The sequence below is a fragment of the Homo sapiens genome, chromosome 9 (genome assembly GCF_000001405.40).
Source record: "Homo sapiens chromosome 9, GRCh38.p14 Primary Assembly".
Classification (NCBI taxonomy): Eukaryota; Metazoa; Chordata; class Mammalia; order Primates; family Hominidae; genus Homo; species Homo sapiens.
In genome coordinates, this window is record NC_000009.12 from 74,776,264 (window position 1) to 74,799,593 (window position 23,330).

Here is a 23,330-nt window from a genome sequence, read left to right on the forward strand (position 1 = left end):
AACATGCTAATCAGAATAACAAGCAGAAGGCAGACATTACAATCAGAGAAAAGAAAATGCCAACATTTTCAGTGTAATGAACAGAAAATCCATTCTGGAACTCAACACTACTCTCAAGTCACCATCTCTTCTCACATAAGAAGCTCTTTTCAGTCCATAATTCATCGTTTATGGGAAACAGCTTTAATGTTCCTCTGTATCATCTACCTAATGTCAAATGTGAGAACTGCTAGAAAAATCCCAGTTAAAATATGCAAACAGTACAGTGTTAGTGAAGAAACGGAAGAAGAATCAATTCATCTTAAAAAACAGAGCTTCTATTAAAATCCAGACAAATTATTTACATTAACTTTACAATAAAAGTAACTCCTTATTGGTAGGTCACTTTGTAGTTGTAACATGGAGATAGGATGGTGAATGTTGATATTATAGAACTTGCCATGGGGGTAATGATTGGAGGTACAGTTATTCTGAAACAATATACCATCCTTAACTACTTAACTTTAAGTATATAATATGATATAAGAGGAACAAAATAAGATGTCCATCTTAATATTTTGCATAGACTAACAAAATTTAGTTTCTTTTTAAAACAATTCTTCTTCTTGCAGTGTCAAAATTTTAGTTTATTTAGAGAAAGATAGCAGAGTAGAACTGGAGGAAGGCAGCCAAATTTAGCAAATAAAAACACAGATAACCCATAACTTGAACAGTGATAAAGAAAAGGAACCAGGATTATCCTGGAGAAAGCCATCTTTGGGTAAGAATAGAAGTTTCTCAGAATCCATAAAGAAGGTGATTGAAACATAGATGACTGGGTTATATCAGGAGTTCTCAAGCATGTTTTCTGAACCAGCAGCAGCAGCATCACCTGAGAACATGTCAGAAATGCACATTTTTGGGGCCTGGTCAATGAGTGGGAAACTCTAGGGTTGCACATGCTATTAATAGCAGTTTCACTCCAACGTGACAACAGCCTTCCACCAGCAGGTGGCGACTTAACAGTGTATTTAAATTTTGGGGGTTGGTTGGTTGGTTTTTGTTTTTTTCAATTATTTTATAAAGAATTGTCTGTAACCAGCTCCTGGACAAGTAGTCAGATCTGGGGTTGGTCACTTTGTATGGTCTTCAGTGTGTTCATCTCTAACGTGAGAAATTTGTCCTATGCGAGGATTTCTCAACTTCTTTTTTGACACTGGACATTTGTTGTTGTTGTTGGCCAGGAGGCTCACAAAGAGGCCTTTATTTATCTAGCTCAAAGTATACACTACCACAGTCTTGTTTGCTACTCCTTCTACTAAAATAGTTCAAATCAATGTTTCTACCACACTATCAAAAAGTTATATTTCTTTTTGTCTCCCCACATCAGAGTGGTTGAATAGAAGGTAGAAACAGGCCAAGAGTCCATAGGCTCCCAGCTCTAAACCGTGCCAGGGCAGGAAGGGGTGGCTCCAGGTCTCACTGTGGCACCTTCTACAGAAAATAGACGTAGCTGCCAGGCCCGGGGACAGAAACCAGACATCCCAGTATATCTCCAAAAAGCAGCACAAATACTTTCCCCCACAGTATGAAAAATACACACCTCTAGCACTCTGCAGTCGTGCATTTAGTTTTCTTTAAGAACAAACAAATCAGTAGTTATGTATCCTGTTTCCTCAAGTTTCAAGAAAAAAAATGAAAGGTCACTCTTTTCTCTTTAAACACTGATGTGTAGCTAGCAACTTGGATAAAAAGGTGCCACCCTACAAAATGCCGCTCAGCATGTTCTGATGCCAGGATGGGCTTGGCCGCCTGGGCTGGGGCTAGAAAGGAGACCTCCAGCTGTCCCAGTGGAAACTGAAGCCGAGTGTCGGTGCTGCATTTGGCTTCAAGATCGAGAATCAGAGCCTTTGAAATGGAAAGGGGGCATCTGAAAGGGCACCCCCACCAGGGGCTTTTCAGAGCTAAGGCTCCAGAAGGAAGGGGTCGCCCTGCTAGTGACAGAGCTGGGAGTCACTCTGAGCTGCAGCCCCCACAGGATCCCCCTGTGGGAGGCCCCATCTGACCCTCTCCAGCCCATGGCTCTCTGCAACTGCCACCTATACTCAGGTATATGGCTTTGCTGCTGCTGGCTTTTAAAATCAGCTATTATGTTTGAGATGTGACTGTCACCAACAGAGTTCTGTCCTAAAAAGCCATCCCAGTGCCATGTTGGCTCAGGGGGCACCAGCTTTGTGCTGCCTCCATAATAGGCAGGAGAGTTCTCAAAGCAATGTTCCACTGATCCCTGGACGCCACTGCAGCATTAGGGACAGGGTCAGTCCCCTGGAAGGGAAAGGTGGCTTCAAGGCTGTTCTCTGGGCCGTTTGCAGGAGATCTGCAGGTACCAGGAGCCCATACTTATCACTTCTTTCAGTGGTGGCCAAGCCAACCAGACCCAAACATGATGCACACGGGCTCCCAGACTTGGCTCCCACTCAAAATTGACCCACACCCCTTGGGCTGCTCTACAGTTCTTTGGACTCCAAGATCCAGAAGGGCCTCTGCCCAGCTGCCTGCTTGGGCAAGACTCACTGGGTACCATGAGCAGCAGGTGTTCACCCAACCTCGAGTGTACACCCCTAGTGACTGGGAGTGCACCACCTCACCAGGCAACACTCCTTCCCAAAGAGTCCAAAGAGCCTCCTGGTGACACCCACAGCAGGAGCATCACACCATCCCATCAACAGCCCCCACTTACCTTCCTGGGGCTAAGATGCGGGGTGTGAGCCTTTCCCCTGAGAGCAAACGGGCAGTGAGACACTGGACATTTTTAATAAACAAAAATCTCAGACTACCAGCCTGGGCAACATGGTGAAACCCTGTCTCTACCAAAAATACAAAATTTAGCTGGACATAGTGGCATGCACCTGTGGTCCCAGCTACTCGGGAGGTTGAGGTGGGAGGATTGCTTGAACCAGGGAGGCGGAGGTTGCAGTGAACTGAGATCACACCACTGCACCACTCCAGCCTGAGTGACAGAGTGAATCCCTATCTCTCCCCATGCCCCCACAAAAAACTCAGATCCTTTTATTATCTGATCTATAAAAATAGCTATTATAACTAAACACCAGCAAATATTCCAAGTTCCTAAAATGGTTGGGCTAAGAGAGATGATGACTATCATATAACCAGCAGGAAGGTATGTCTTCCCCATGTTTAGGTAACAACACAGCAGTCACTTTTTTTTTAAAAGAATTTTGATTTACTTTGCTGACTCTCAACCCCTGTCTTCCCTACTTTTGTTACTTGTTATATTTTCCTCTTCAGTAAGATAAGCAAGGAATCAAATACCTAGCACAGTGCCTGACAGTTAAGAGGCATCTAGAAAATATGAGTTTCTTCCCATTACTTCACTTGGTTTCTTTTGTCTAGGAAACAAATATGTGTCAGGCACTCTTTTCAGTGTTTGAGGTAAATTGCTTGCTTCTGAGCAAGACGAGAAGAGGTGAGGAAGTGGCCCATACTGGTAGCTGCAGGAAAAGCATTCTAGGCAGAGGGAATAGCAAGTGCAAAGGCACCTGTATGGTCTGAAAAACTGAGGGGCCAATGTGGTTGGAGAGGAATGGGTCAGGGGAAGACTAGTGTGATGCATGATTTAAGAAGTGACGGCTGGGCGCAGTGGCTCACACCTGTAATCCCAGCACTTTGGGAGGCCAAGGTGGGCGGATCACAAGGTCAGGAGTTCAAGACCAGCCTGGCCAATATGGTGAAACTCTGTCTCTACTAAAAATACAAAAATTAGCCGGGTGTGGTGGCATGCACCTGTAGTCCCAGCTACTCGGGAGGCTGAGGCAGAAGAATCACTTGAACCCGGGAGGCAAAGGTTGCAGTGAGCCGAGATAACACCAGTGCAGTCCAGCCTGGACAACAGAGAGAGACTCAAAAAAAAAAAAGTGACAGGGGCCAGGCATGGTGGCTCACACCTGTAATCCCAGCACTTTGGGAGGCCGAGGTGGGTGCAGGAATTTGAGACCAGCCTGGCCAACAGGGTGAAACCCTGTCTCTACTAGAAATACAAAAATTAGCCAGGTGTGTGGCACACACCTGCAATCCCAGCCACTTGGGAGGCTGAGGTAGGACACCTGCTTGAACCTGGGAGGCAGAGGTTGCAGTGAGCTGAGATCGTGCCATTGCACTCTAGCCTGGGTGACAAAAGTGAAACTCCGTCTCAAAAAAAAAAAAACGAAGTGACAGAAAAGCCAACTCACATGGGGCCATATAAGTCATTGTAGTGACTTAAACTTTTACCCAGAAGTAAAATGGGAGGCACTGAAGAGTTTGGAGCAGAAGAGTAATATCCTCTGATGTCTGCTTTTAAAGGGTCATTTGGACTACTGTGTTGAGAAAAGAATATAGGGAGTCAAAGACAGAAGCAGAGAGATAAATTAGAGGCTCTGTGGTAACAGTGGGGTAGTGAGAGGTCATTAAATCAGTTATCTATTTGAAGGTTGAGTTAACAGAAGTTCCTGAGAGTTTAGAGGTAGAGGTTCAAGAGACATTAAGAATGACTCCATGTACAGAATCATGGTGTAGAGCAGAGAAAAAGTAAGAAGGACTACTTAGTTTTTGGTGTAAACAACTGAAAAGCTGGAACATCAACAAAAACTCGTGTTCTTCCTCACAGATTTGGGAAAGACTACATTAAATATTATAAATAAAAGTATGTTGGGAAAGAGGGGAGATGAAGAGTTTGGGTATTTTAAATTTTAGAAATCTATTAAATTTCTAACTGGTGAAGGAAGGGGCCAGTTGGATCTCCATGGCTGGAGTTTAAGAAAGAGAACTGGGCTGGGGATATAAATTGGGTGTGCTCAGGATATACAGGAAACTGAAAGAGATCACAAAAAGCATAAATAAAGGAAGAGGCAGGTCCGGGCTCAGGGACATTCCAATGTTAAAAGGTTGGGGAGAAGATGATCCAGAAAAGAAGATTGAGAAGTAGTGAGAAGTGACAGAGAAGAAAACAGAGGGCCTGGCACAGTGGCTCACTCCTATAATCCCAGCACTTAGGGAGGCAGAGGCAGGTGGATCACTTGAGGTCAGGAATTTGAGACCAGCCTGGTCAACACGGTGAAACCCCGTCTCTACTAAAAATACAAAAATTAGCCAGGCATGGTGGCAGGCGCCTGTAATCCCATCTACTTGGGAGGCTGAGGCAGGAGAATTGCTTGAACCCAGGAGGCAGAGGTTGCAGTGAGCTGGGGTCACACCAACTGCACTCCAGCCTGGGTAACAGAGCAAGACTCTATCTCAAAAAAAAAAAAAAAAAGAAGAAAAAGAAAGAAAGGAAAAGAAAAGAAAAGGAAACGAAAGAGAGGAAAGGAGAGGAGAGGAAAGGAGAGGAAGAAAGAGAGAGAGAGAAAGAGAGAAAACAGAGAACAGGGGAAGCTGGGAGCAAGTGAAGAAAGCATATCAAGAACTCCTTAACCAACTTGCAATTCCATCACTTGCTATCCTTTCATAATTCGAACTTACTGCCTAATCACAACTCAAGATCTCCTTGCATTTTGATGTTGTTACATTGTACTTTCCCCCCACAGTCAGTTCTCCATATCTGCGGGTTCCACATCTGTGGATTCAAATAACCACAGATTGAAAATATTTGGGGAAAAGAAAAGGATGATCGTGTCTGTGCTGAACATGCAGAGACGTTTTATCTTTGTCATTATTCCCTCAACAATACAGTATAGCAACCATTTACATCGCATTAATACTATATTAGGTATTATAGAGAATTTAGAGATGCTTTAAAGTATACAGGAGGATGTGCCTAGGTTATATGAAATACTACACCATTTTCTATAAGGGACTGGAGCATCCATAGAGTTTGGTATCTGCAGGGGGTCCTAGAACAAGTCCTCCACAGATAACGATGGATGACTGCATTTATTATTTCACTGTTTCCCATGCTCCATGTCCTTCTTATCAGTAGTTTTATGTGCATATTTCAAAACAATAATAATAAATATAGAACACACAAAAATCAAAGGTTACATACTCAAAGTACATGTGAATCTACTCAACATATCTGCCCACATTTCTTATTTAAATAATCATATTTAATTGAAATAACCTACTTGAAGAAAGCAATCAACAGGTTCACCATGATGATATATTGCACGAAGAGGTAGACAGCTTGCAAGAATGGAGTAAGAAAAGAACCAGGAGGGCAGGATGGCTGGCTTGAACAAACTACAAATAAAGAATTTTAAAAGAATGAAAGATAAGATGAATCACAGTCCTGCCACTCTAGACACACATTTAGCACATTAACTGCACAGAATACCATAAATTCAAACATTTTTAAGATTTAGATGATTGTTTTTCAGATGTATTTTACTCTTGTTAACTATGAAGGCACAATTTCTGCATGACGGTAAAATCCCATACACACCATCTATTTCTCCAGCATAGACTTCTCCGTATATCATCCAGTATGGCTCAAATACAATATCTCGAGCTAGACTCCAAGATGGTGGCTCTTTTGGCGAAAGGATGGCCTTGCGTGCCACTCCAAAGCTCAGCAGGACTATGGCCATGATGATCACAATATAGAACATGTTTGCTGTCTGCAAAAGAGCATAGTACAACCAGAATTTTACCACAGATTTGAAGTTCAAAAGAAACCAAACACCAGCAGCCATCATAACTATACCTGCAAATAATAAGATTGTCTAGTCATTGACTAAAACACCCTTGTGCAGGAACAGCTAGACTTTCTTTGGCTAAACTCTTGTTTTCTCACACAGTATGCATTTCAAGTCAACTTGGTCTATGGAATAATATAAATGTGCTGAGAGGAGAGAATCTGTGCTTCTTTGTTTAAGCAGTAATGAATTGTGAACACTTTTTGATTAGCTAATATCTAAGTTTGCCCCCAGTTGGACCATAGGTTAGGAAAATAAAAAAAAAAAAATAGGGTATTGTTGAATTAGTCCAATGGCTCCTTATTCCCAGAATTGTCTTCAGGAATTGATTAGAGTCTAAGAAACTGATCAAGCCAGTTTAATTCCATCTACTAAATGTACATCAACTCAGTCCATTAGTTTACTGTAACAGACAGAGCACTCACCACAATTCCCATCATTATTTCAAGAGCTACTCTACATCTCTTAGCTTTCCTTCCATTAGGCTGGGGCTGTGAAACGTATTCAAGCCAGTGGGCTGTGGTTTGATGGTGACTTGGGCACTTCTTGTCCAGAGCAGTTAAAAGCCATTAGACTTTCTCCATCCCTCTCACTCCCTACCATAGACCTTAGGAGCTAAATGTTCACATAGCTATGTCACAAGACAAAGGGATCCCAGATTCCTGAGTCACTGCATAGAGGACAGCCCCCATGAGCACTCACCAAACCTTGCATTAGGGAGAAATACCTTTGTGCTAAGTCATTGAAATATATTGGTTATCTCGGCATAGCCTATCTCATAAAGACTAATGTCACCAAGACAAGAGAAAACATTTCTGGTCTAAGAGAAAAATGTCAAATAGGAAAAATCTTTGGAGTCCTGGAGGTTGTCTCTTTTCTGTCCTCTTTGTTTGTTTGTCTCAGCACTACCCTTCAATCTCCAGAACTTGCCCCTTCCCTGCCAGTAAGTATCCTAGAAGGAAAAGCCAAAGATGATCTTGAGACACTGTACTTATTAAAGCGTAGGTCTTAGGTCCTTGTGAACAGCCAGATGGAAAAAGCCGGCCGGGCTCAGTAGCTCACGCCTGTAATCCCAGCACTTTGGGAGGCCGAGGCGAGCGGATCACTTGAGGTCAAGAGTTTGAGACTAGCTTGGCCAACATGGTGAAACCCCGTCTCTACTAAAAAATAAAAAATTAGCCGGGCATGGTGGCAAGTGCCTGTAGTCCCTACTATAGGCTACTCAGGAAGCTGAGGCAGGAGAATCGCTTGAACGCAGGAAGTGGAGGTTGCAGTGAGCAGAGATTGCGCCACTGCACTCCAGCCTGGACAACAGAGCAAGACTCCATCTCAGAAAAAAAAAAAAAAAGAAAGAAAAAGAAAAAAAGAAAAAGCTGACACAACTGTACGGCAAGCTCAGGTGACAGACTGGAGCTAGGTGGCCCAATTTTGAATCCTGGCTCCCCATATATTCCTTTGAGGAATTTGCTTAACCTCCATTTCCTTGTATGTAAATGTGTATAATAATACTACCTATCTCCTAAAGTTGTTACTAAGATTAAATGAGTTAATACATACTAATTACCTAGAACAGTGTGTGGCCTATAGTAAGCACGATTTAAGAGTGTGATGGTAGGGGAGAGTCAGTGAGTGATACAAGAATAAACGGATATTTTAGCAGAAAATATCATTGGTGGTAGCCTCACATGAATCTCGTCCTTGGGAATTACTGTGCTCAGAGACAGATTTGACTCAATCCCATACCATCTGGTCCTAATCAAAAGGGTAAGCTGAGTGTCCCAACAAACTAACTATGCAATATACTATCCAAGGTCATTTGCTAATACTAGTTTGTGGTTATATGGAAGGCAGTGGTGACATGATCTTGCTCGCTGTGCTTCTATAAATAATTCCAAGATAGCGAGGCACAATGGCTCATGCCTGTAATCCCAGCATTTTGGGAGGCTGAGGCAGGAGGATCATTTGAGCTCAGGAGTTTGAGACCAGCCTGGGCAACATAGTGGGACCCTGTCTATATAAATAATAAAAAATAATTAGCTTGGCATGATGGTGTGTGCCTGTGGTCCCAGTTACTCAGGTGGTTGAGGATTTCTTGAGCCTGGGAGGGTGAGGGTGCAGTGAGCCGTGATCGCACCACTGCACTCCAGCCTAGGTGACAGAGCAAGACCCTGTCTCACATAATGATGATAATAATAATAATAATTTCGAAAGTTAAACTATCGGATATAAACGATGAAGAACCATTAAAAAGAAGCCAGGCGTGATGGTGCATGCCTATAGTCCCAGCTACTCAGGACACTGAGATGGGAGGATCCCTTGAGCCCAACAGTTCAAATCTAGCCTGCACAACATAGCATCTTTACAAAGAACACTAGAACAACAGGGTGACTATAGTTAATAATAATTAAATGTACATTTAAAAATAACTAAAAGAGTATAAGTGAGTTGTTTGTAACACAAAGGATTAATGCTCGAGGTGATGAATACCCCATTTACCCTGATGTGATTATTATGCATTGTATGCCTATATCAAAATATTCCATATACCCCGTAAATACATACAGTTACTTATGTACCCACAAGAATTCTTTTGAAAACCTTTTTTTTTTGAGATGGAGTCTCGCTCTGTCGCTCAAGCTGGAGTGCAGTGGCGCAATCTCGGCTCACTGCAAGCTCCGCCTCCCGGGTTCGTGCTATTCTCCCGCCTCAGCCTCCTGAGTAGCTGGGACTACAGGTGCCCACCACCATGCCCGGCTAATTTTTTTGTATTTTTAGTAGAGACGGGGTTTCACCCTGTTAGCCAGGATGTTCTTGATCTCCTGACCTTGTGATCCGCCCGCCTTGGCCTCCCAAAGTGCTGGGATTACAGGTGTGAGCCACCACACCTGGCTAAAAATAATTTTAAAAAAGAATACCAGGATATAAAACTAGACTGTACTCACCATTTTTGCAATCATGGTCACATATGGACCTGCATGTTGATTCACAGCAAAGAAGTCCAGGAGCCGTGAGAACCAGAATATGATGTCTATGCAGTAGATCAGTCTTCCCGCTGTGTGAAAAGGAGGGTCACCCCATCGAAGGACGAAGCCAGCTGAAAACAGGCCAATGGCCACAGTTTCTGTTAAGTTCCAGTACTCACTAATCCATACCTTCACCTTTTGGGTAAACTTCCCAGGTTCTGAAATACAGATCTAAAAGAAGGAAGAAGGAAACTTTAAAAAGGAGGTACAACCAAAGAATCCCATCAATATGATCTTCTTAAATACACAAACCATTCACTGAAAGAGTAATCTAAAACCTGCCAAACCTTAAATCACTTGCGGATTTCAGAGACTTAAGTTATCATCAGTAATGAATTATTTAAACAATGCTATACAGATATAATTTAAGTCATTTGATAATACCAGATTGTCACTTGAAACTCCAACTAGAAGTCAAAAAAATAGAAAGCACTTTTTCTAGCTTTCAATAATCCTGAAATAGCATGAGAAAACACCAAGACATTTTAAAACTCAATACTGCAGGCTGGGCGCGGTGGCTCATGCCTGTAATCCCAGCACTTTGGGAGGCCGAGGCAGGTGGATCACGGAGGTCAGGAGATCGAGATCATCCTGGCTAAAACGGTGAAACCCCATCTCTACTAAAAATACAAAAAATTAGCCGGGCGTGGTTGCGGGTGCCTGTAGTCCCAGCTACTCGGGAGTCTGAGGCAGGAGAATGGCATGAACCCGGGAGGCGGAGCTTGCAGTGAGCTGAAATCGCACCACCGCACTCCAGCCTGGGTGACAGAGCGAGGCTCTGTCTCAAAATAAATAAACAAATAAATAAAACTCAATACTGCTGTGGATCTGTATAGCTACGATTTCATTTCAGGAGGCACAGCAGGGTGCAAAGAACACTGGATGGAGCAAGGAATCCTGTAATCCAGTCCGACTACTGCTATTTAGTGAGTTGTTGACAAACTACTAAGAATATGATATTGGGCCGGGTGCAGTGGCTCACGCCTGTAATCCCAACACTTTGGGAGGCCGAGGCAGGTGGATCACTTGAGGTCAGGAGTTCGAGACCAGCCTGGCCAACATGATGAAACCCCGTCTCTACTAAAAATACAAAAATTAGGCTGGGTGCAGTGGCTCACGCCTGTAATCCCGACACTTTGGGAGGCCGAGGCAGGTGGATCACTTGAGGTCAGGAGTTCAAGACCAGCCTGGCCAACATGGTGAAACCCTGTCTCTGCTAAAAATACAAAAATTAGCTGGGTGTGGTGGCAGGCACCTGTAATCCCAGCTACTCCGGAGGCTAAGGCAGGAGAACTGCTTGAACCTGGGAGGCAGAGGTTGCAGTGAGCCGAGATCTCACCACTGCACTCCAGCCTGGGTGACAGAGCAAGACTCTGTCTCAAAAGAAAAAAAAAAAGAAAAAAAAAGAATGTGATATTGGAACTCACTAAGATAAGAAAATACCCCTGAAACACCGTGTCAGACAAACAGAAATGTAAAATAGTACACCGATTTTCCCTGAAGCATTAAAAAAAAGGGTACAATTCAGATAACTATCTGTTTCTCTCCTGATTTTCTATAATCTATAAACTCCACATAGGAATTAGCAGGCAACATAGGTATAATTACAAAGAAGTATACAATGTTGGTTATATTACCTCTAAGACAAAATAAATATAGGTAAATACACAGACACAGAGGCATACATTGACATCTAAAACAGTCTGAGTCACAAATATTTATGATTACAGTTATAACTGATAGGAATGCTAGTTTTTGGTTTTGTTTTTGTTTTTGTTTGAGACGGAGTCTCGCTCTGTCACACAGGCTGGAGTGCAGTGGTGCGATCTTGGCTCACTGCAACCTCCACCTCCTGGATTCAAGCAATTCTCCTGCCTTAGCCTCCCAAGTAGCTGGGATTACAGGTGCATGCCACCATGCCCGGCTAATTTTTTGTATTTTTAGTAGAGACGGGGTTTCACCATGTTAGCCAAGATGGTCTCGATCTCCTGACCTCGTGATCTGCCTGCCTCGGCCTCCCAAAGTGCTGGGATTACAAACATAAGCCACCACGCCTGGCCCCCTCCTTTTTTTTTTAAAGTAACTCATTACGAACTAGAAATTTTTAAAAGTTTTGGTTTTTTGTTTCTTGGACTATTTGCCTCAGAGAGATTTCCAGCTTCAATTTTCAAAGTGTTTGGTAGGAGCTTTCAAAAACTATAAACATATTCCTTAGATATTGCACAACTTCAGCCATTTATGCCACTCATTAGATGAAATTGATAATATGAAAATAATGCTAGGCAACAAAAATCAACCCCACCAAACAAAAACAAACAAACAAAAAAACTTGGGGAAATCAAATAGTTGGAGGGTTTAATACAATTCTATGGCATCATCTATCCTTTAGGATTGGTAAACACACCAAGATATCCACTTCAAAGATAACTGCTTCCAAAGTGCACCAACCAGCAGAAAGCAGCTGACAAGGATAAAGGGCTGGAATCAAGGATTCTCCCCCAAATAACCTTTATGCAGCATGTAAGTCAAGGTCAGTGTGTCCTGTCTTCCCCCACCCTTGACATGTCCATTTTCATCACCAGAGCCAAGGAGTCTTTCAGTGGACACCTACAGAAGCTGAGGACATATGCAGAAGATAAAGGTAGATGGCATAACTCACCTCCCTGACCACCTCAATAGCATTGGTGAAGATGTAAATGCTAACAAGCCACTCCTGCACGCTGGGCTGGGGCTGCATCTCCACCAACACGGTGTAAGTGAACAGCATGAGGAATGCCAAATACGCCATCTGTGAGGGGGACACACATTCCCCAGATGTGAGTGAGAGCAAGCATGGAGCATGCCAAGGAGACGCAGATGGAGCAGAAACCCAGGCATGAACTTCAACATGATAACACGAACACAGAACTAGGACCACCTTCGGGTTATTGATGACCTACTATCAAGGAAAGCACAACAATCCATGGTGTTCTAGTCTAGGATTTAGAGGCAGGAATGAAATCACTGTTCTCAGATGCATGGAAGGACACATTGTGCCTTTCTGCTGGCTCGTGACTGGCATTTCCAGGACCCTGCACATCCAACAGGGGCACTGGCAAGCTAACAGCAAGCCCAGGAGGAATCACAGGTCTTCCCCTCCATCTTAAACACAGAAAGAAAACGTGTGAAGCATGCCAGATCCGCAGTGGCAATAGATGCTTATTTTCAAATACAATGAACTGTGGCATTTACCACTGCTGGGAGTTCTATTTTATGTTGATTAAAATACTCTGTTTAATAGAAAAGTTGTGTCCAACTGTGAGCCCTTTTAATTAAGGACCGTTTGTCAATATTTATATCTTCAGCACTCAGCACTCAGCACTCTGCTTGACACATGATAGACATTCAATAAATGTTTGTCTAATTACTGTGTATATATATGTATGCCTAGATTTCCAAAGTCTTGAAAGAATTAAGACATAGTGATCACACATATAGATACATAGTGATTAATAGCTTTGTAATCTTACCTAATATTCTTATCTTCTTAAGATATAGTCCCAGAAGCAGAATATCTGTCCATGCGCATTGAAAACTGTGACAAATATTACTAAATTTTCTGACAGAAGGGCTTTACCAAATTACACTATTATCAACAATGTATGAGACTGCAGTCCTCTAAATAGCCTCAGAGACAACACCCAGTGCTCACTGATCAATACTTGCATTTAAAAACCTTGTATCGGCTGGATGCGGTGGCTCATGCCTATAATCCCAGCCCTTTGGGAGGCCAAGGCGGGTGGATCACCTGAGGTTAGGAGTTCGAGACCAGCCTGGCCAGCATGGTGAAACCCCGTCTCTACTAAAAATACAAAAAATTAGCTAGGCATGGTGGTGCACACCTGTAATCCCAGTTACTCAGGAGACTGAGGCAAGAGCATCTCTTGAACCCAGAAGGCCGAGGTTGCAGTGAGCCGAGATTGCACCATTGCACTCCAGCCTGGGTGACAGAGCAAGACTCCATCTCAAAAAAAAAAAAAAAAAAAAAAAAAGAAAATCAGTTGAGAGAAAAATGTGTGTGTGTGTGTGTGTGTGTGTGTGTGGGTTCATTCTCACAAGTCATATTATTTTAACCTTGATTCCTATTTCTCATACATTTTTATCTACCTAAATGGATAAGTCTGCTTCTAACTTTAGTTCTGCACAGATAACATAGAGAATAGCTTAAACCATTTCTAACTATGTAAGAATGGTATTATTGGCAATAGGTGGTCTTTTAGGCAGTCATAATGGATATTAGTGCCTATGATTTAAGGAAGTGTAGAAGAGAAGCATATAAGAAAGTAAAGGTAAATTTCAATAATTCTATACTTCTCTTGGTCTATATCTCAAAGTCTGAGTTTTTTTGATGACTCCTTAGGGACACACTTTAAGTTAATTTGTTCTTTCAAGCAACTTAAAAGTTTTTTGTCATTGGTTTCAGCATAGTTAGACAATTTACTCCTTAACTTTTACTCCGAGGTTCAGACCTTAGCCCATTTGTCTGTATATATTTTATTATTTGTATTTTGTTATCTCCTTATACTGATTCCTTATACTGGACTCATTTACGTACATTAATGGTCTCCCCTACATAACTGTAAGCTGTTTGAGGTCAGTATTGATGTTTGGCAACGTCTTCTTCTCACCGCCCCTCTGCTGCCTAGTATACTATGTCTTAAAGACAGCAGTTAGGTCTCAGTAAAATCGAATTGAATGACCTGAATCTTAGGTTACCCTCAGCCATAACTTTCTTTCTATATAGTGTACAACTATACGAATCTGGAAGATTTATAAGCAAAAGACTACAAACATATTCGATAAGTAGATATTCAGATTGAGAAAGCAGCACAATTCCTCTACTTGAGAACAGGTTGGATTCCTAAAGGCTATGTTAAGTCCACTTACTCTTTAGTCCAAAGTGGCATCACATAAAGGCTACAAGCAACCAAAGTACTCACACCTAGGTAAAATTAAGCACTAAACACTCTGGACATTGGCAGTATTGCTTCTGACTCTATTTGTTTCTTTCCAATTATTAAAAACACCATGGTGGGCAGATCTGGCTGGTTTTGTGCTATTGCTTAGCTTTGTTCCTGTTTCTTAAAGCTCCTGAACTAGAAATTTCCAAGGGAAGAAATGCCTAAATACGCTTTTCCCAATGGTATGACTATGGTTAAAACTCTCCCAGCACTCCTGTCAGAGTCTTTCGTATATGTTGTTGCGCATTACAAAAATAGCAAAACCTCATTGTTTGAAAGCAGATGTGATTTTTGGAAACAGATAAAAATCATACACAGCTACGTACTTATTCAATAAGTATAGGAAATAAGTGTGTGGTTGGCCAGGTAAATATTTGGAAATACAACACATTTAGATAAATATCCTTTTACAGTCACACTTCAAATGTTTTAGATATACAAACTCTTGGCCATGAGCTATTTAAGTATAGATAAGCATTAGAAAAATAAATGCTATGGGAGCACATGTTCTCAGATCTCCTGAGGGCTGTGTTACGGAAAAAAATATTTAAAAAAAAAGAAAAGAAAATTCTATGAAATAAATGTGAAAAGCACCAAACACATCTAAAGCACAGCTCATGCTTTCTCTGTAGCTCTACTATCCATAATAGATTTAGTATTTGTTCACACAGTTCAGCTTCTAACATTTTTCATTTTCTCTCTATATTTATAAACATATACTACTGAAGGCAAAAAAACCAAACACTTGCATCATTTTCTACCTATATAACACATTCCTACAAACAAAAAGCTGATTCAATTGCTGATTTTCTTTTTTTTGAGATGGGGTCTCGCTCTGTTGCCCAGGCTGGAGTGTAGCGGCGCAATCTCGGCTCACTGCAGGCTCTGCCCCCTGGGGTTCTCGCCATTCTCCTGCCTCAGCCTCCTGAGTAGCTGGGACTACAGGCGCCCGCCATCACGCCCGGCTACTTTTTTTGTATTTTTAGTAGAGACGGGGTTTCACCATGTTACCCAGGATGGTCTCAATCTCCTGACCTTGTGATCTGCCCGCCTCGGCCTCCCAAAGTGCTGGAATTACAGGCGTGAGCCACCACGCCTGGCCTCAATTGCTGATTTTCTAAGAAGAATCCACCCACCTATTGCTTAATTCTACAAACACTGCTATTAATTTGGTTGTTCCACAAATCTTTGAATGCTGTCTCCCTTCAAATGGTGAGGTTTTACCACTTTTGTGGAATGTGCAACAACATACTTGAGGGACTCTGATAGGAGTGCCGAGAGAGTTTTAACCACAGTCACACTGTTAAGAAAAGAATATTCCAGTGTTTCTTTCCGTGGAAACTTCTCGCTCAGAGTTTTTAGAGACAGGAGCAAAGCTAAGCAATAGGGCAAAGCCAGCTAGATCTTCCCACAATAACAGTGCTAACTCTTAGCACTCAAAGAGAGAAGAAAATGCTTGTTCTCAAACTCCAAAAAGTAGGTGAGCTCCACCCTAACTTCTCCCTGCCTTCCTCCAGTCCTCTTTGCTACCTACTTTGTCATGCCCTCACTTTTTTTTAACTAGGTTTCTACATTTTTAATGCAAAGTGGCAAATCAGGCATATTATCAACATCATCACTAGCTATCAATCATCATTAATCCGACATATATTGTTGCAATGAGACCAACCGTATAAAACCAAAACTTGACAATTGGAGCACTGTAGAACTCATAGACTTTCCTGGTCCACGGAAGGTGTTGGTGCCCACTTTCCAAACCAAAATGCTGATTTTCATCCAGTTTCTCATCATGGCCCCTTTCCAAATCATACTCTTTCTATAAAATAAACAAATAATCATTTTCTTGTCAGCAGCTTAACTAAAATAGTGACAAGCATGAACATCCAAAAAATATCATAAATAATATATTAGAAATTAGTTGGCTGGGGGCGGTGGCTCACACCTGTAATCCCAGCACTTTGGGAGGCCAAGGTGGGCAGATCATCTGAGGTCAGGAGTTCGAGACCAGCCTGGCCAGCATGGAGAAACCCTGCCTCTACTAAAAATATAAAAATAAGTAGAGTGTGGTGGCACATATCTGCAATCCCAACTACTTGGGAGGCTGAGCAAAAGAATCGCTTGAACCCGGGAGGCAGAGGTTACAGTGAGCCGATATCATGCCACCGCACTCCAGCCTGGGTGACAGAGTGAGACTCTGTCTCAAAAAATAATAATAATTGGGCACCCACATGCCAAATTATAATCTTACCTTTGAAGGGAGAGAAAACTGCATGTACTGTATAAATTACTGACCAGTTAAAACACATGAGGTATTTCTGAAATACAAGCTGACTCTGTAGTAATCAAACCCAAAGTAAGAATAGTTCCAAGGATTTAAAAATTGGTCCCTGTTCCCAATATCCTTTTTTTTGAGATGAAGTCTTGCTCTTGTCGCCCAGGCTGGGGTGCAATGGCGTGGTCTCGGCTCCCTGCAACCAACCTCCGCCTCCCAGGTTCAAGAGATTCTCATACCTCAGCCTCCCAAGTAGCTGGGCTTACAGTCACCCGCCACCACACCTGGCTAATTTTTGTATGTTTTTAAATTTTGGAACCTAAGGATACTCCTAAAATCCCTGTGAAATCAGTAATGAACAATACAATTATTTCCTTAACACAGAAGAAATTGAGCATACATTGATGATGCATGGCCATTCCTTGTCATAGGAAATTCAGGCACTGCATTAGTTTTAGGATTCTGACCTTCGATAGCATCCCCACTGATTTATAGCAGAGGGTCTGTTTGCCTGCAGTTCATGTGCTCTCTGAGCTTCCAGAGTTCCTTGAACACCCTGCAACCATGTGCAAGTATTTGTGTTGTACATGCATTTTTCTGGGGAAAGAATCAGATTTTTCATCAACTACCAAAAAGGTATGTGTCAGTCCAAGGGAATTAACTCATGTAGAGAATTAGCAATGAGTATATGTAAGGCAGAGCAGGAGTTGCCTGAATGTGACTATACAAACACCCATGCAGAATGAGCTTTGAAAAGAGGAAGGAAAGGAAGAGAAAAGAAAAGAGAAAAAGGAAAAGAAGAGACAAGACAAGACAAGAAAAGAAGCATTTATAGCCTGGCTACCTTTAAGAAGCAGCAATGTAAGGGTAGCGAAAGGAAAGCAAAAGCGATATCACTCTACTGTGTAGATTTCTAGGTGGTTTTAGTTTTTTAATAGGAAACACATGTAATTTTTAATTTTTTAAAGTAATATTAAAAGAAAAGAATGTTCTCTGCTGCCTCTCAAACTAGTCCATTCTTGCAACGTAGCCACAAAAGTTATCTCTTTAATGTCAGACCTGCAAGATTAGCAAAATTTTTTAAGCCAAGGAATGAATCAAATTTTGCTTGAGTTGTCCATATAATTGCAGAAAAATGTGACTTTTAAGGCCTCGGGCATCTAGATGGGTTATCGTCAGTGCCTAATTAATTATTCAGTCATTTATTTCACTTTGGGCAGTGAGGTTAGGATTGACTTAGAAATGTAGGAATTGGCCCAATTCCTAGCAGGTTTGAACCAGGCTAGAATTAAAATGGTGTAAAACCAATTAGAAAAGTCATCATTTATGAGCTTTTAATGACATCAACACCACATCAGAAAGACCCCAGAAAGCAATTTAAGTAATGACTTTATTATTAAATAACTTCTCTTATTATTTTTCTAGGAGTGTTTCATTAGCTCTTAATTGCTCTTGACAGTTTGGAGTGAATTATAAAGTGCTGATCGGGCCTGTCTCTGAGTTGAATTCAAAGACACCAATTGCTATGATGAAGACAACCTGAGAACATAAATTCAGATTTTTTTTTACTGAGAAGAAGGTAAAGACAAAAACATGTGACTTGAATAACTTTTATTATATATATACAGCTCCCCTCACCCCCCACACCCCCTGACCACCCCACACTCTTTTTTTCTAATTGTAATCTGATACACAGATTAAAATTATGACTACAACAATAAGTCTTCCCCCCATATCTGTTTTGCAGTCATATTTCCCACTTAATTATGCTCTGATAGAATAGATTTTGTTATACAACTTTCTTAGTATTATTTCACTGTGATTTATCGACCTGTCTAAGACCGAGCTCATCTTTCCCCTTCCAAACCCACTCCTTCTCCAGTTATCCTTGTGTCCCTTCAAGACGGCCTTGTTTAAAAGACCCTCTTCCTCTCCACGTCCATTGCTACTGACTCTCGTTAAAGGACTTATTGCTTCTCACCTGGATGGCTACCCTGGCCTACCCTGCTTCCAGCCAGTCTTCTTGCTAAACCATCCTATGCCCTGGAGGCAGAATAATTTCTCTAATAGTCAGATCATCTCACTACTCTGGCATACACATTCACTGGCTGTCCGTAACCTACAGAATAAAAATCATACTCCTTCACAGGATATACAAGATTCTACATGATCTAGCCTCAATCTACTTTCCAGCCATTCCTACAAGTACTCCCAGCTTGTCACATAACCCTCATAACCTAGATTCCAGCTGAACCATACCACTTGCGATGCTTTACATATACCTTGCCACTTCCCAACTCCATGACCCTGTTGATAGTCTCCTTCTCACTGATATGCTCTTTTCCCTCACCACATCGTCAAGTCAGGCTCAAACACCAACCCAATCATAAAACTGTCACTAACCCCTAATCCTTACCTACTGACTCCTAATGGGAAGAGTCTTCTTCTGCTGTTGGTTAACCCATTCTGCCATCTTACTGTAATTTAGTCCTAAGAAAACTCAAGTCATCACAGGTCATGTTTTCAAGAGGTTATCAGCTAAAAAGATCTAAATTTCACATGGCAAAGTTATTCTGCCTGTAGAAATTTCAGTAAGGAGTTTTATAAAACCTCAGTGAGTAAATGCAGTATTTGATGCTATACAGCTTCAGCTCCAGAATAATGGCTTTCCTTCTCTAATTACCAGAAGTGCCTTCTTTATATTCATTATTACCCACTATTACCACAAGAAGACAACACAGTGACACTCTAAAGAGCATCTAAGTATCACCTGCCTTCAGTTTCCTGCCACAATACGTAATGCAAATTATGTTCCTCAACTAATAAATTGCATTACTTAATCAGTGTTATGAAATCTTATCTACCCCATCAAAAGTGCTGCCTCCACCCCTTACACCATGCCTAGAAAATTCTAAAAACATAGCAGCTTATTAATAATTACTGCTTAAGTTAAATTCAAAGACAAAAGAAAGATTGTTGTTATGATTATAAGCCATTTATAGTGAACAGACTTGAAACACTTTTTCAATACCTGTTTTAATTGAACAATGGTGAGATATTGTGGATATTCTGATTGTAAGCCCCACAGTTGAAAAGGCTGCATCTGCCTTAATTAATTCAGTGTCCACAGAACCTCTAGCACATGTAAAGTGGCCACAAATGAGTCATTGAATTAATAAATTGGTATATGGCTATGTCCAAACCACGTCTTTGATTTTGGCTTTGAAGTAGAAATAGAATATTTTGCTTAATTGTGTACAGGGCTTAATTAGTTCTATTGTACATAATATACCTGACCATAGCATAATATGATTAAGATTAAGAGAACTAAATGCTTGATTGGTCAGAGGCATTTTAAAATAATGTACCCCAGGACCATATGTCATCACAGGCCTGAAATATAGGCAACATAACTTTTGTTTAATAGATGGCTATATAAGTAAACTTTAAGGATGTGTATATTTGCGTGCAGTCAATACAATGAAAATTCAGTTCATTATGATTTTGCACTAACCACAGAAGCACTTTCTTTGGAACTGCTGGCGTTCTGGTCACTGTAATACCACATAAATTGGAAGTCCTGGGACTGGGGAACATGTGACATCTCAGCTTTGCTTTTAAATTCCAGTGTCAAAATGGTGGGTGGTAAAATAATGCTTATAATAATCTGTAAAAGAAAAAAAAGCAAAACAAAGTAGTAGGGACTACAAAAGCACATACTAGACAAATAACAAAATTAAGAATTTCAGTGTATATAAAATGCCAGACCCATCCCAGTCAATTTTCATCGCATTTCTATAAATAATTTTTTGACTCGGCAACTTCAGTTCTAGTGTTTCTCTCAGAAATACTCATGAGTACAAGCATTTGCAGATAAGAATGTTCATTGCAGGACTATTTGGAAAAGCAAAACACTGGTGTCAACCTAAATGTCTATCTAGAGAGGGACAGCTGGTCTGGAATAACCTAATAGTGGAATACTGTGCAACCATTAAAAAGACCAAGGCAATGTTGAATATAATGAAAAGGTAGCCACGCTATATTGTTAAGTGAAAAGATCAAATTACAGTTACCTCTTGGTGTCCAAAGGGGATTGGAGCCAGGACACCCCTGACCCCCGACCCCAAGGATACCAAAATCTGAGGCTGCTCAAGTCCCTGACATCAAATGGTGTTGTATTTCCATATAACCTATGCACATCCTACCCTATACTTTAAAGCATCTCTAAATTACTTATAATACCTAATACAATGTAAATGCTATATAAATAGTTGTACTATATTGATTTTTCATTTGTATAACTTTTATTGTATTGTTATTTATTTGGGGGTGTTTTTCCAAATATTTTTTATCTGAAGTTGATTAAATCTGCAGATGTGGAACCCATGGATATGAAGAGCCAACTGTATAGAAGAACATAGAGTGATCCCATTTTTGTTAAAAAATAAAATTAAAAATCTTAGCTATTTATATGCATATAAATATGTATTTAAACGTTTAAAAATATGTATACTACACTGTAATTATTTATCTCTAGGAGTGGCAGGACAGGGCAGTGACAGGTATTATTTTTCAATGAGCACACTGCTTTAATAATATTTTAAAGCCATTAAGTAGCTATTACCACATAAAACACATTAAAATTAGTTGATATTATAAAATCAAGAATCTAAAAGTATACCGTCACCTTCTGTTAGATCCATCTCCCATCCCACACGTATCTTTTCTCTACTAGTAAAACCCAAGGAGGGTATAGATCCAGACATCCACAAGTTTTTTTCATTATATTGCTATTATTCATTAATTACTAACAGTCTTTTCAAAAAAAATTTTTAAGTTCAACTTGTATGGCCTTCCAAGGTAAAGAGTTTAAAAGATTTACTAAATGCTCTGATATCAACTTGATGAACACTACTTCTTTCAAGCTAAAAGTAGGCCTTAGTATTCTGGTATTCAGTGATGAAAAAGAAGATTTAAATTGACTAGTTGGCATTCATTATTAAGTATGGTAAACCGAAGTCATATCCTTGTCAACCTTCTTTTTTTTTTTTTCATGATGAAATTATCTTTTGTCACCCTGTTTTAAAGCTTGATCTCCTAGGAAGATTCTCTGGACTTTCTCCAGTTCTAATAGGATTTTATTTGTGTGTTTGTTTTTTGTCCAGATGTACAACCCAAAATACGTGCAATCTTCTAGGTCTGGAAAAATCGCAGTTATCATGCCCAGTGGTAATATTGTACTAATTAATCTCTAGACAACTTCCTGAAGAGGCCCCACATTCTATTGCCCTTGTGCATTGCAGAACAGCTGGCTTATGAAATAGTATTTGACAACATCAGTATCCCATCTCTAAGGGATTTGATGGAGCATTACAATGAGTTTTCCCATCCACATCTCTCTACATGGTTTTCCTACAGTATTCTTCTACTTGGAATTAGCCTAGCCAGGACATCTCACAATTATTTGCAAATGTGTTTCTAAAACTCACCAACCAAGCACTGATAAAGTAGCATCTAAACACTGGAGAAGAATGTTTACTGCAGCTTAGAGACTTTAAGTAGCTAACTCAGCCTTTTTTATTATTAACTCACTCTATCTTTTGGGGCAAAACATTTAGTCTTACTTCACAAGTCTCCTTTTTGGTATGAAGTATATGAAGAACAAGAATTCATTAAGTTCTCAGAAATAAGGATTTCTAGTAAACTAGAGTATATACAGGACAGAAACATGAGGAAAATTATTTCTCAAACTACCAGCTATCTATATCTTATCTCACTCCCTGAACATTGAACTTATGTAGCTAGAGGTGAACCCATTCACATCTCTGATTCCTCAGTTCCAAGGGTGCAATCAAAGCAAATCATTGGAGAACTTCTGAAAACAATTATTGTTTCTGATATTTTCTTTAAAAGGATTTATGTTGAGATCCTTTTTGGTTGACATTTCTCTTATTTCTATAATTTCATCAGTGGAAAAATAGTCATGTTTGGGACACATCATATTTTTAAGAACTCTAGGAAAAATAAAATTAAAATATAAAATACAGACTTATGTAGTTCTTAATAGTCACTCTTTGTCTCTTTTTATTTATTTGGTTTCATAAGTATATGTACTCCTTAAGCTTGTCCATAACCTAAAGCCTTTAGACTTAGGTTTGATGTCAAAGATTAAATGTCCTTAGCAGTCAACTAAATTATTCTTGATAATTTAAGATAATAGATGAGGCTGAGAAATTTGAGATGGTTAGTCATATGAACAAATGTATTGGAGGGCAGCCTTATGAAACAGTCACTTATTCTCTCAAAAAAAAACACACACACATACACACACACACACACACACACATTGGGTAAGCAGAACAACAGA

The 23,330-nt window shown here is 40.5% G+C and overlaps 1 protein-coding gene across 3 annotated transcripts in view; it reads right to left on the minus strand.

The window, feature by feature from the left end:
- Nucleotides 1-23,330, minus strand: part of TRPM6 (transient receptor potential cation channel subfamily M member 6) — a 165,427-nt gene that overhangs the window by 53,769 nt on the left and 88,328 nt on the right. For all 3 annotated transcript variants that reach the window (NM_017662.5, NM_001177310.2, NM_001177311.2), the window contains exons 18-23: nt 20,478-20,630; nt 16,361-16,507; nt 12,351-12,479; nt 9,611-9,862; nt 6,416-6,590; nt 6,099-6,213 (exon numbers count right to left, since the gene is read on the minus strand). In NM_017662.5, the coding sequence (NP_060132.3) occupies nt 6,099-6,213; nt 6,416-6,590; nt 9,611-9,862; nt 12,351-12,479; nt 16,361-16,507; nt 20,478-20,630 (971 nt within the window). The remainder of the gene's footprint in view (nt 1-6,098; nt 6,214-6,415; nt 6,591-9,610; nt 9,863-12,350; nt 12,480-16,360; nt 16,508-20,477; nt 20,631-23,330) is intronic.